At 42.0% G+C, this 14,711-nt stretch overlaps 2 annotated features.

The window, feature by feature from the left end:
* Positions 2,234–3,073: an enhancer, noted in NCBI's record as "OCT4-NANOG-H3K27ac-H3K4me1 hESC enhancer chr18:59667958-59668797 (GRCh37/hg19 assembly coordinates)". NCBI's record gives its function as "activates a minimal SCP1, AML or CMV promoter by ChIP-STARR-seq in naive H9 embryonic stem cells {active_cell/tissue: H9 hESC(naive)}" and the evidence as "EXISTENCE:reporter gene assay evidence [ECO:0000049][PMID:30033119]".
* Positions 3,074–3,912: an enhancer, noted in NCBI's record as "OCT4-NANOG-H3K27ac-H3K4me1 hESC enhancer chr18:59668798-59669636 (GRCh37/hg19 assembly coordinates)". NCBI's record gives its function as "activates a minimal SCP1, AML or CMV promoter by ChIP-STARR-seq in naive H9 embryonic stem cells {active_cell/tissue: H9 hESC(naive)}" and the evidence as "EXISTENCE:reporter gene assay evidence [ECO:0000049][PMID:30033119]".

Consider the following 14,711-nt stretch of genomic DNA (forward strand, 5'->3'; position numbering starts at 1 on the left):
GAGTTTGACATTGTACCTGACATTTGTTCAGAACTAAATAAATATTTATTGAATGAATCAATCGATGAAGGAAACGCACACGCACACATCTCTTACATCTCTTCCTCTCTTCCCGTAGGCATGAGAACCCAGACGCAATAAATCTGACTCTACAATTAACTTTCTTTGATATATCGATACATTTGAATTCAAGTGACCCAGGTTTTAGCCAAGAAACAAGTCCCAACAAATTGTCCACAGATTCTTTGCCTAATTCAGGCAAGATGTTTCTTTCACCTCAGGCTACCTATTAGGAATCGTTTAATTAAAAAAAAAAAAAAAAGATGCAAAAATACCTGTCTCCTTAGAGAGAGAGTTTATCTCACCATCAAACCAATCATTAGTGAGCTTTCTCTTTATAACTGTTTTCTGATTTATCACAGTTTATCACTCATATTTTAAAAACTCCTTCTATACCCACCCTGCCACATATGGCCACAGCTTGTTTGCAAAGAATGCTGATCATGCTTTCAAACAAAACTGTTCCCATATGCTTGTGATTCATTTCCCCCTTCCTGCCTTTGCTTCATTTGTTTTAGAATTGGAGTTTAATTTTGAAACCATTGCTGTGACAGGAAGTGACTAGGGAGAGGAAGAATTAGAAGAGAGGGACCTCAGAGCTGAGAGGGATGAATGAAATGGTATGTTGCTTATTCAACCCACAGATGGGATCAAAGACTGTTAGATTGAAAAAGCCCTTTAAAGTAATACCATATTCCCACTTGATCCTTTCCTTCCAGCTTAAAGCAGAGGGCTGGGAAAAACATGATCTTATCTCCATTTCTGGAATGCATGACAGTCCCATTATATACCTTACAACAGAATAGCAGCATAGGGCTCAGTTGCTGACCAGAGTGACATTTTGAAAAGTGCAAGCATCCTGTCTCCAAGGAATATTAATAAAATCATGAAATGAGTTGGCTGATATTTTCTGCTGCCTATTGCAACTCAACACATGACCTTTTAATGGAGCAAAATATTTGTAATATAAAACTAGCCTGGCATTCTTAGATAATTTATTCATTCAACAAATATTATTCAGCATCCATTATGTGTCATAGCCCTTTCTAGGCATAGGATTCAAGAGTGAAAAAAAACAAAGAAATATCCTGCCCTCACAGAGCTTATATGCTAAAGGGAGAGGACAAACAACCAAGCAAGAATATATATATGTACTATAAAGGAAGAAGAAGGGAAAAGGACAGAAATGCAGGGGAGTGAGGTTGGGGGGTTGTTATTTTGAAAAGGATGGTCAGAAAAAGGTCTTATCTATCAGGTAAAGAGGTAAACCACATGGCCATGGAGGGGACAATGTGTTAGGCCATTTCTGCATTACTATAAAGGAATACCTGAGACTGGGTAATTTATAAAGAAAAGGGGTTTAATTGGTTCATGGTTTTGCAGGCTATATAAGCATGGCACCAACATCTGGTCAGCTTCTAGTTCAGGCCTCAGGAAGCTTACAATCATGGCAGAAGGTGAAGCAGGAGCAGGCATATCACATGGTGAGAGCAGGGGCAAGAAAGAGAAGGAAGAGGTTTCAGACTTAAACAACCAGATATTATGTGAACTCAGTGAGAACTCACTCATCACCAAATGGATGGTGCTAAGCCATTTGATATGGTTTGGCTGTGTCCCCACCCAAATCTCATCTTGAATTCCCACATGTTGTGGGAAAGACCTGCTGGGAGGTAACTGAATCATGGGGGCAGGTCTTTCCCATGCTGTTCTCATGATAGTGAATAAATCTCACAAGATCTGATGGTTTTAAAAAGAGGAGTACCACTGCACAAGCTCTCTCTCTTTGCCTACTGCCATCCATGTAAAATGTGACTTGCTCCTCCTTGCTTTCCACCAAGATTGTGAGGCCTCTCCAGCATGTGGAACTGTAAGTTCATTAAACCTCTTTCTATTGTAAATTGCCCAGTCTTATGTATGCCTTTATCAGCAGCATGAAAATGGACTAATACATTGTTCATGAGGGATCTGCCCCCATGATCCAATCACCTCCCACTAGGACCCACCTTCAACATTGGGAATCACATTTCAATAAGAGATTTTGAGGGGACATACATCCAAACCATATCATTCCACCCTTGGCCCTCCCAATTTCATGTCCTTCTCACATTTCAAAATACAATCGTGCCTTTGCAATAGTCCCCCAGAGTCTTAACTTGTCCTCACCTTAACTCAAAAGTCCCAAAGTCCAAAGTCTTATCTAGAGATGGGTTCCTTCCACCTATGAGGCTGTGATATCAAAAGCAAATTATTTACTTTCAAGATGCAATGGTAGTATAGGCATTGAGGATACAGTCCCATCCCAAAAGGGAGAAATCAGCCAAAGAAAGGGGTAATAGGCCTCAAACAAGTCTGAAACCCAGTTGGGCAGTCATTTAATCTTAAAATTCTAAAATAATCTTTGACTCTATATCCCACATCCTGGGCACAATTGTGAAAGGGGTGGGCTCTCAAAGCTTTGGGCAGCTCTGTCTCTGTGGCTTTGCAGGGTGCAGCCCATGTGGCTGTTCTCATGGGTTGGAATTGAGTGCTTGTGGCTTTTCCAGACAGAGGATGCAAGCTGCCAATGAATCAACCATTCTCAGGTCTGGAGGGTGGTGGCCTCCTTCCCACCACTCCACTAGGCAGTCCCTTGGTAGGCACTCTGCATGAAGTCTCCAACCCCACGTTTCTCCTTTGCACCACCCTAGTAGAGTTTCTCTGGTGGGGGCTCCACCTCTGCAGAAGGCTTCTGCCTGGGCACCCAGGCTTTTCCACCCATCCTCTGAAATCCAGCTGGAATCCTCCAAGCCTCCTTCACACTTAACACCATGTGGAAACTGCCAAGGCTTGTGGCTTGCACCCTCAAGAGCTGTGGCTCAAGCTTTACCTGGACTCCTTTGAGCTGCAGCTGCAGCTGGAGTTGGAGCAGTTGGAATGCAGGGAGCAGTGTCCTGAGGCTGCACAGGGAAGCAGAGCCCAGGGCTTGACCCCTGAAACCATTCTTTTCTTCTAGGCCTCTGGGTCCATGATGGAAGGGGCTGCCTCAGAAATCTCTGAAATGCCTTCCAGGACTTTTCCCATTGTCTTGGATATTAGCACTTGGCTTCCTTTTAGTCATGCTAATCTAGCAAGTGGTTGCTCCACAGCCCACTTGAATTCCTCTCCTGAAAATGCTCTTTTTTCCTCTATCACATGGCCAGGTTGTGACTTTTCCAAATTTTTACACTCTGCTTCCCTTTTAAATATAGGTTCCAACTTTAAATCATTCTTTTGCTCCTACATCTGATCCTGGCTATTGGAAGGAGCCAGGCCACAACTTGAATGCTTTACTATTTAGAAATTTCTTCCACCAGATACCCTAAGTCATCACTGTTAAGTTCAAACTTCCAGAGCCCTAGGACATGGACACAATGCAGCTAAGTTCTTTGCTAAAACATAAAATGGGTGACCTTTGCTCCAGTTCGCAATAACTTCCTCATTTCCATCTGAGACTTCATCAGTCTGGACTTCACTGTCCATATCTCTATCAGCATTTTGGTCACAACCACCTAACCAGCCTCTAAGAAGTTCCAAACCTTCCTTTGTCTTCCTGTCTTCTTTTGAGCCCCCCAAACTCTTCTACCCTCTGCCTGATACCCAGCTCCAAAGCCACTACCACATTTTCAGGTATCTTTATATCAATGTCCCATGCTTCAGTATCAATTTTCTGTATTAGTGCATCCTTGTGTTACTATAAAGGAATATCTGAGACCAGATAATTTAAAAAGAAAAGAGGTTTAATTGGCTCACGGTTTTGCAGGCTATACAAGCATGGTATCAACATCTGCTAGGCTTCTGGTGAGAGCTTCAGGAAGCTTACAATCATGGTGGAAGACAAAGTGGAACCAAGAACAACATGTGGCTAGAGCAGGAGCAAGAGAGAGAAGGGGGAGGTCCCAGACTCTTTTAAACAATCAGATCTTGCACGAACTAACTGAGCAAGAATTCATTCATCACCAAGGGGATGGTGCTAAGCCACTCATGAGGGATTCTCCCCCATAACCCCCGACCAGACCCCACCTCCAACACTGGGCATCACATTTCAACATGAGATTTGGAGGGGACAAACATCTAAACCATATCAGACAGGGAGTGCACTCTATACAGATGAAGAAGCAAGTGCCAAAGTTCTGAGGCAGGAACACGTGTAGCATACTTGAGAAGCACCAAGGAAGCTGATGCTACTAATATGAAGCATCAGAGATAAAGTGAGCCAGTCAGAAGCAAGCCAATCCCATAGGCCTGTGTAGACTATTACTATTTGAGAAATTGAGGTTTTACTCTACATGAGACAGGAGATAACTGATGGTTTTCGAATAAGGAGTGACATGATCTGACTTCTATTTTCAAATATTCATCTGACTGCTGTGTTGAACTAGACTATAGGGGGTGGAACAAGGACAGACACAGAGAGACCCATTAGACCGGAGGCTAGGTGATACTCCACACAAGAGATGAGGGTACTCTGAAACAGGGTTATCGGAGAGAAAATGGTAAGAAGGTATATTCATTTCTTATAACAAAGTACTGCAAACTTGGTGATATAAAGCAACAGACATTTATTCTCTCACAGTTCTGGAGGGCAGAAGTCCCAAATCAGCATTGTTGAGCCAATATTTAGGTGTCAGCAAGGTGCATGCCCTTCAGAAGCTTAGTGGGGAATCTGTTCTTTGGCTCCTGCAGCCTCTGGTGGATGTTGGCTTGTGGTTGCATCACTCCAGTCTTCAAGGCCAGCATCTTCTCATCTCTTTTCTCTCTCTTGCCTCTCTCTTCCTCTCTCTCTCTGCTCCATCATCCCCTTCTCCTCTGTATCTATCAAGACTCCCTCCACCTCCTTTTTGTAAGGATACATGTCATTGTATTTAGGTCCCACCTGAATAATCCAGGATCATCCCCTCATCTCAATATCCTTAATCACATCTGCAAAGACGTTCCCCCCTCCCTTTTAAGTAGCTATATAAAATAACATTTACAGATTCCAGAGATTAGGATATGAAAGTCTTTTGGAGAGCATTTTTTCAGCTTATTATAGAAGGGATCAGAAAATGAATTTTTTTAAAGGAATAACCTGTAGGATTTTTAGATTACTTTTTGAGTGGGAGAGAAAGAAATAAGGTGACCCCAAAGCTTTTGGTCTTTGCACTATTTCTCAGAGGCAGATTCTGGAAAAATAGGTTCAGATAAGAGGACGAACTCAGTTTTGGAGATGTTAAATGTGAAAACCCTATAAAATATACAAATCGTGCTTTAATAGGGAGTTAGACTTAAGTCTGGATTTCAGAGAAGGTCAGACAGGGCCTATACAGTTGTGAATCATTGGTATACAGGTAGAATGTAAAGCCATAAGACAAAGTGAGGCTACACAGTGTGGCAGTCTGAAACTGTGTTAAGTTGGCTAAACTGTAATTACATGTCCAGAACTTCTTTCCTTGTACGGTTATACATTAGCATTGACCAAGAAAGAACTTCTCATAAGACTGGAAGGTAGAAGTGAAGCAGCTGCCATTGTTCTTCCAGGGGTGTCTGATTAGATACTGAGGGAGACAGACAGAGAGGGGCGGGGGACTCCAGCCTCTCGGTCTTCCCCACACTGCATCCAGCTTCTCCTGTGACAACAGCAGCCCCAGGCCCACCAGCCAGCTTGGCGGCAACAGCCTTCCCCGGACATCTATGTCTCTCCTTCCCAGTCCCACTTTTGCAGCTGGGTGTGCCTTTGGAAGCACAAACTCGTCCGCCCACCCCAGTGCTTCAGGAGGGCTGGTAGTGACTTTTCTCTCATCTCTTCAACTCCCCCTTTCAGACCCTTCCTTCCCTAGCTTCTTACACAATTGTATGAGGTCTTACTCCAATAACAAGCCCCATTCAGTAATACTCATCATGATTCTGCTTCCCTGATTAAACCCTGACTACCTGTATCTATGGAGTGAATCTAGATGGTGACAAGTCTGAGAACCGAATCCTGGGACACCCCAAAGTTTGGAAATGAGAGAGAAAAGGAAGAATCGAGGAAGAAAACTAAGCAGGAATGATCAGTGGGCAGAAGAGCCTGAAGCTTATACAATTTTGGCATCCATCTTAAAGAAAAAGTATATAAAATTAAAATTAAATACAAATATGAATATACATTTAGAATGGGAAAAATCACATCAAATTGCAGTTTTTAAAAGCTGACAAATATAATAAATAATGTGAAGGTCCTTTAGGTCCCACCTGGATAATCCAGGACAATATCCTCATGTCAAGATCCTTATTTTAATCACATCTGCAAAACTCCTCCCCTCTTTAAAAATAGCTATTTAAGGTAACATTCATAAATTCCATAATATTTTTGATTATTTAACTGCCTGATACACTCCTACATTTGTATCTTTACGTATTTGGGCTGCATACTTTTAAAATAACTCTTTATATTTCAGTTGTTTTTTACCGTTATTTTCTATAAGGAAAGTAGAAAAATAATCACTTTTCCTTCTGGCATGATTGAGCACAGTTTTTAAATTATTCTTAGCTTGTAAGCATAAAATGCATAAAATCAGTGTCTTCACACACAAACTTCCTTGGTGTCTATAGTCCTGATAGAGTTTAAGCAATCCTTAATTAAAACAACCTGATTCAAAAGTAAGCAAAGGACTTAAATAGACATGCATTAGTCCCTTTTCATGCTGCTGATAAAGACATACCCAAAACTGGGAAGAAAAAAAAGAGGTTTAATTGGACTCACAGTTCCACATGGCTGGGGAGGCTGCAGAATCATGATAGGAGGCAAAAGGCACTTCTTACATGGTGACGGCAAAAGAAAATGAGAAAGAAGCAAAAGAAGAAACCCCAATAAACCCATCAGGTCTTGTGAGACTTATTCACCATCATGAGAACAGCGTGGGAAAGACTGGCCCCCATGATTCAATTACCCGCCTGGGTCCTTACCACAACATGGGGGAATTCTGGGAGATACAATTCAAGTTGAGATTTGGGTGGGGACACAGCTAAACCACATCATTCCACCCCAGCCCCTCCAAATCTCATGTCCTCACATTTCAAAACCATGATGATCCAGGATCATCCCCTCATCTCAATATCCTTAGTCACATCTGCAAAGAGGTAGTCCCAGTAGGGATTCTGTGTGGGAGCTTCGACCCCACATTTCCCTTCCACACTGCCCTAGCAGAGGTTCTCCATGAGGCCTCCACTCTTGCAGCAAACTTTTGCCTGGACATCCAGGCATTTCCACACATCTTCTGAAATCTAGGCAGAGGTTCCCAAACCTCACTTCCTGACTTCTGTGTACCTGCAGGCTCAACACCACATGGAAGCTGCCAAGGCTTGGGGCTTCCACCCTCTGAAGACACACAGCCTGAGCTGTACATTGGCCTCTTTCAGCCATGGCTGGAGTGGCTGGGACACAGGGCACCAAGTCTGTAGGCTGCACACAGCACGTGGACCCAGGGCCTGGCCCACAAAACCACTTTTTCCTCCTGGGCCTCCAGTCCTGTTATGGGAGGGGCTGCCATGAAGTTTTCTGACATGGCCTGGAGACATTTTCCCCATGGTCTTGTGGATTAACATTAGGCTCCTTGCTACTTATGCAAATTTTTGCAGCTGGCTTCTGTTTCTCCCCAGAAAATGGGTTTTTCTTTTATATTGCATAGTCAGGCTGCAAATTTCCCAAACTTTTATGCTCTTCTTCCCTTATAAAACAGAATGCCTTTAACAGCACCCAAGTCACCTCTTGAATGCTTTGCTGCTTATAAATTTCTTCCATCAGATAACCTAAATCATCTCTCTCAAGTTCAAAGTTCCACAAATCTCTAGGGAAGAGGCAAAATACCACCAGTCTCTTTGCTAAAGCATAACAAGAGTCACCTTTGCTCCAATTCCCAAAAAGTTCCTCATCTCCGTCTGAGACCACTTCAGCCTGGATTTTATTGTACATATCACTATCAGCATTTTGATCAAAGCTGTTCATCAAGTCTCTAGGAGGTTCCACACTTTTTCACATTTTCCTGACTTCTTCTGAGCCCTCCAAACTGTTTCAACCTCTGCCTGTTACCCAGTTCCAAAGTTGCTTCCACACTTTCAGGTATCTTTTCAGTAACTCCCCACTCTACTGGTACCAATCTAATGTATTAGTTCATTTTAATGCTGCTGATAAAGACATACCCAAAACTGGGGAGAAAAAGAGGTTTAATTGGAATTACAGTTCCACATGGCTGGGCTGGGAGGCAAAAGGCACTTCTTACATGGTGGCAGCAAGAGAAAATGAGGAAGACACAAAAGCAGAAACCCCTAATAAACCCATCAGATCTCATGACACTTATTCACTATCATGAGAACAGCACAGAAAAGACCAGCCCCCATGATTCATCTACCTCCCCCGGGTCCCTCCCACAACATGGGGGAATTCTGGGAGATACAATTCAAGTTGAGATTTGGGTGGGGACACAGCCAAACCATAACCATATCAAGACATGTCTCCAAAGAAGATATACAAATAACCAGTATGCACATGAGAAGATGCTCAACATTACTAATCATTAGGGAAATGCAAATCAAAACCACAATGAGATATCATTCACCCCCATTGGGGTGGCTATTATTTTTTTTAAAAATCAGAAAATAACAAGTGTTTGCAAGGATGTAAGAAATTGAAACTCTTGCGCGTTGTTGGTGAAAATGTAAAATGGAATAGCCAATGTGAAAAATAGTATGGCAGTTCCTCAAAAAATTAAAAATAGAATTACCATATGATCCAGCAATTCCACTTCAGGGTATATACCCCAAGGAATTGAAAGCAGGATCTCAAGGAGATATTTCACACCCATGTTATTTACAATAGCTAAAATGTGGAAGCAAGATAAGCAATATGTGATGTATGCATACAATGGAATATTATTCAGCCTTTAATAGAAAGGAAATTCTGACATATGCTATGTGGATAAAACTTGGGGACATTATGCTAAGTGAAATAAGCCAGTCCCAGAAAGACAAATACTGAATGATTCCACTTATATGAGGTACTTAGAGTCATTAAAATCATAGAGACAAAAAGTAGAATGGTGGTTGCCAGAGGTTTGGGGGAGGGGAGAATTGAGAGTTATTGTTTAATAGGTATGGAGTTTCCATTTCACAAGACGAAAGAGTTATGGAGTTAAGATGAAGGAGTTATGGTGGTGATGGTTGCACAACATTATGAATTTACTTATTTATTTTTAATTCTTTATTTTATTTATCTATTTTTTTGAGACAGAGTCTCACTCTGTCGCCCAGGATGGAGTGCAGTGGCACCATCTCGGCTCACCGCAACCTCCGTCTCCTGGGTTCAAGCAATTCTCCTACCTCAGCCTCCCAAGTAGCTGGGATTACAGGCACCCGCCAACACGCTCAGCTAATTTTTTGCATTTTTAGTAGAGACGGGGTTTCACCACATCAGCCAGGATGGTCTCAAACTCCTGACCTCAGGCAATCTGCCCACCTTGACCTCCCAAAGTGCTGGGATTACAGGTGTGAGCCACCATGCCCGGTCTTTAATTCTTTTTTAAAAGATTTTTAAAATTCTTTTTGTAGAGATGAGGGTCTCACAATGTTCCCCAGGCTGCTCTTGATCTCCTGGACTCAAGTGATTCTGCCACCTCAGCCTCTCAAAGTACTGGGATTACAGGCATGAGCCACTGCACCCGGCTCCTGAATATATTTAATACCACTGAACAAAACACCTAAAAATGGTTAAGATGGTAAATTTTATGTTCTGTGTGTTTCACCACAATTTTTAAAATTAGACAGAAGTATATAGTACATATTTAATTGTATTCCTTTGTACTCCTGATAAGAGAGAACTTCCATTCGGATGAAGCATCAAATAATTGAATTTTACAAAAAGAGCTTATAATTTCACATATCTGATGCTAAGAAGAATTGTCTACAACTACTTTTCAAACCTTGTTTCCCTTTCACTCTCACACACTTCCAGTGCTGCGTACTATACGCCACATTGATAGCAGGTTTTCATTTCTGCCCTCCCACCTTTGCCTCAATTCCAGTTAAGCCAGTACCCTGGGCAGTAGGAGAACTCCTCCAAGCACTCCTATTCCAGAGGGATAGAAAAAACTCAGCCACCCACAGGAGAAACCGCAAACCACATAAATACATCCCACTAAACCCAAACTAAACATATCTCCAACTCAACTCAATCTCCAAAATACAGTCATCCTAATATTCCAATACCATCTCACACAAGGGCAAGTTTTTAAGTTTCTAATATGGAAACTTTCAAATTATACAAAAGTAGACAGAATAGTATAGTATATTCCCAGGAACCCCTGCACCCAGTTTCAACAATGATGGATTCATGGCCAGTCTTGTTTCCACTGTACTCCACCCGCTTTCTCCTTTCCTCTGCAGCTTTACAGCAATTTCTACATATTACAGTATTTTGTCTATCAATATTTCCATATGTATTTCTAAAATATAAGAATTCTTTAAAAATAACAATGCCCTAAACATACTTCAGCAAACATGATTAATAATGTCCTAATATTCTCAGATATTGTATCCAAATCTCTAATGATCTCATGAGATGCCATACATTTATTTTTATGGTTTGTTTGAATCAGAATTTAAAGTTGTGATTAATTGATATGTCTCCAGTTTTTTAAAAATCCATAGATTTCTTATCTCTTTTTTGTAATTAATTTGTTTAAGGAATCAGGTTGTTTTCTCTGTAGAGTTTCCCACAGTCTGTATTTTTCTAATCAAATCCCTATGCGTCATGTATTTTTTGTGTTCTCTGACTGCTGAATTTCCTCTAAATTGGTCATTGCATTTAGAAGCTTGATAAGATTCTGGTTTGACATTTTTGGCAAGGTTGGGTGCACTTACTGTCTGGCTGTGTCTCTGTTTGATGTTAGAGGATGTTGATGATCAATATGGCCTTAGGTTGACATCCCCAAAATAGACCCAGAGACAAGGATCACTGTGAACGTGACCATGTAGCACCTCAGGAGACCAGGAAGGTGGTGCAGGAAGCAAAATAGGCAGGAGAGGACACCCAGCAAGAGCATGATCTCAGGCAAAATCCCAGAGGGCAGTTTCTTTCCGATCCACAGGGAAACTCAGCCGTGTAGGTTACACTTCAGAACTGCACTGACTCAAGGCAAGGGATCTAGGTTTTAGCATGCCTGTACTTTTCAGTGATTGCTCAAGAGTTTCTGCAGAGGTGGGCACTGTTCAGCACTAGCAGCTCTGTGTATGTCTGGAGCAGGTTGCACAAAACAGTAATGAGAGATCAGAAGGGTCAGAGTGGAGCTTCCAGATCATCTGCATATGAGGGGAAGTTTGACCAATTATGTTAAAATATCTTACTTTGCAAATACTCCAAAAAGATATGAGCATGTAAGCATATTCCTAGATGGGCCTTAGAAAGGGCCCATAACAGTGAGGGTCCCTGACACTTACGCTTCTTTAGCTTCAAGATAAATCCACCTTTGTAGTGAGGAAGAAAGAAAACAAGAGATTGTGGTGTCCTGGACGATAAGAAGAGAGTGTGTTTGAAAAAGAGAGTGATGATGTGTTTTAAGATCCTGCGACTCATCAGATCTGTTGGTCTTATTGCCTTTTCATTGTCCTTTGCCTACTTTGTGTCTTCACATTCCCCACAGTCCAGCTTAGAGTTCATGATCCAGAATTAAAAGCACTCTCAACTCCTTCGCCTCTGTTGATGGGTCAGGAAGATGAAGACCTTTGGATTTGGCTATGTGGAGATTATTAGAGACCTTCAGAAAAGTAGTAAAGGTGGAGTATTAAGAACAAAAGCCTAATCAGAGTGACTTCGTATAGAAATTGTAGGAGGAGAGAGATTGGAGAGAAGCAGAGATATCCCTCAGTGTCCATGGGGGATTGGTTCTAGAACCCTCTTCAGATGCCAAAATCTGTGGATGCTCAAGTCGCTGACATAAAATGGTGTAGTATCTACAAACAACCTACATATACTGCTGATATACTTTAAATCATCTCTAGATTATTTGTAATACCTCATAGAAGCTTAGTGCTAGTGAATACTTGCCATACTATATTTTTTTATTCATGCTATTTTTTATTGTTGTATTAAAAAAATTTTAGACTCAGGGTCTTGCTCTGTCACCCAGGCTGGAATGCAGTGGTACAATCATAGCTTACTGCAGCCTCAAACTCCTGCACTCAAGCAATCCTCCCATCTTGGCCTCCCAAAATGTTGGGATTACAGGTGTGAGCCACTGCACCCAACCTGGTTTTTGTTTTTTTGTTTTGTTTTGTTTTCTCTGCTTTTCAAATATTTTTGGTTCTCAGTTGGTTGAATCTGCAAATACAGAACCCTCGGGTATGGAGGGCCAAATGTATAGCACATTTTTTCATGGGGTTTTGTTGAAATGGATGACAAAGTAATGAAGCGATTGCTGGACAGAAATGTGGAGTTAAAGGTTTGTTTATTAGAAGATGGGGAAAGTAATATATTTGTCTGCTGAAGGGAATGATCCTATAGAAAGGGGTACAGAGGGTAGAATGGCTAGATATTTACTCCCGATTAAGTGAGAGCAGACAGAACCTATCGGGCAAGTGGAAGGGTTGACCTGAGATAGGAACATTTAAGGTTCATCCCCAACAACAGGAGGGACGCCAGATGGAGGTGAGTAGGTGGTAGATTTGGGAATGAGAGCAGAAGAAAGTTAAATAATGTCTTCACCTGAGCTTGTAGAGAAGCAGGTGTGGGAGGCTTGAGGAAAGTGAGAACAGGTGTCTAGGAGAGCTAGACAGTGAATTAACTAGCGAAATGTAGCAGGATTTCCATGCAGCTCTCAGGGCCCACATGAAGCTGTCAGTTATGAATTTAGAGTGAGGCCAACCAGCATGGCTGGGTGTTGTTCTTCAACCATGATCAGCTGTGGGCTGTAGGAGTGAATAGGCAAAGAAGTGGCTAGCCAAAGTTGAAGTTTTTCTAGGCAGGTTGGAGACAGAGGCAAAGGAGATGAGAGTGCTTGTAATTCTGGGTCATGGACTCTAAGCTGGATAATGGGGTGTGTGAAAACATGAAGTGATAAGGGACAGTAAAAAGGCAATAAGACCAAGAGATGTGATAAGTTGCGAGATTACTAGGCTTCCAGGAAGAGTGTGCTGGAAGGTGAACAATGAGTTCACTTCTACTTGAGATCGTGGAAATTGCGGAGTTAACGGTTATAACAAAGTCTAAGGTTTGGCCACGGCAGTGGACGGCTGAAAGAGAGTGGGGAACACATTACTGACACAGAGAAGAAACCAGGCTCATCCATATGGCTATTGTAATTATTGAATCACAAATTAATATCTTGTGGCCAATTACTAAGGAAGCTCATTCCTATAGCATCCGTGTCCCTCCCATCTTGCACAATTATCAAAAAGACCATCGTTTCTCAGTTAGTTTTAGCTGAAGCAGATCTTACAGGATGCTTTGTGAACAGTTTGCTCAATCAATGCAAATAAGACAACGTTGCAGGACACTGAGGCCCCGTACCAGGCAACTTGTGTCCTTTACATTATGCCTTTTGGAAATGAATGTCCTCAAGCTGTATAAATTTTAGTTTTGCCATTTACCTCCTAAAATATTACCACCTATAAATACTGAGACATTTTCAGTTTTTCATAGACGAGTTCATCCATCTGGTGCTGAGCTTTTCTCTACAGAAAGCTAAAATCCCTGTGGTCATCTACTGGCATTTGTGCCCATAGACTGGCTCTCCTTTCTTGTAACTATGGATGAACTCTGTATGCTCCTAAGGTCAGAATGTGCTCAGAACAAAGCCATTTATGACAGGAGGGAGCTACCAAGGGCCCTGGTACTTGATCCAGGGTCCTGGTGCAAGGGTCCAGCTTCTCACAGAGAAACCTCTAGGTCATTTAGACTCACCTGTCTCTCACCAAGTCCTGGCTTTTGCCAAATTCTCACTGTTTTCCTGTCACATTTTTCAACTCTGCCCCACCTCTCTCCCTGTACTTTTTTGAAGCCATGGTTCTTCCAAAGAAATAAAAAATGTGGTTAAAACAAACATCTAGACAGACTCTAAGAATGATAAGCCTAAGACTCTAAGAAAGATAAGCCAAGTCTCAAAAACAACCAGAGCCTAGACAGGAAGGAGTGAAGGAAGAATGGTGAGCTTTGCTTTGGATGGTGGGAGTATCAGGTCCTAGGATGGAGAAGGTTGAGCTGGTGCGTGGATGGATATGACCTCAGATTTTTTGTTTGTTAGTTTTGAGGTTTTTTTTGCAAGATCATCTCACTGCCAGCATCTTCCAAATCACACTGGCAGGGGAAAGGAAAAATCTCAGGGAACCAAGATTCCCTGCTCTCTCCATAACCACAGCTCACATCATGACCTTATTGCAACTTTCTTCTTTATGGCACCTTCAACTGGCATCCATACCAGTTATGGCTGCGTTAGTTTGAAATGTTGCAGCCAAGATTGTCTCTTTCCCCATTCCTTGTCAGACTCTGACTTAGAATTAGTTTCTTTGGGATAGGACCTTACCAAATACTTCCAGGTCCTTATGGAGCACCCTGGGATAATCGTGCTTCCTTTGAGTACATTCAAACTCCTCTGCTTACCTCAGAAACCAAGTGCCCAGCATCCCTC

The sequence above is a fragment of the Homo sapiens genome, chromosome 18 (assembly GCF_000001405.40).
Source record: "Homo sapiens chromosome 18, GRCh38.p14 Primary Assembly".
Lineage (NCBI taxonomy): Eukaryota > Metazoa > Chordata > Mammalia > Primates > Hominidae > Homo > Homo sapiens.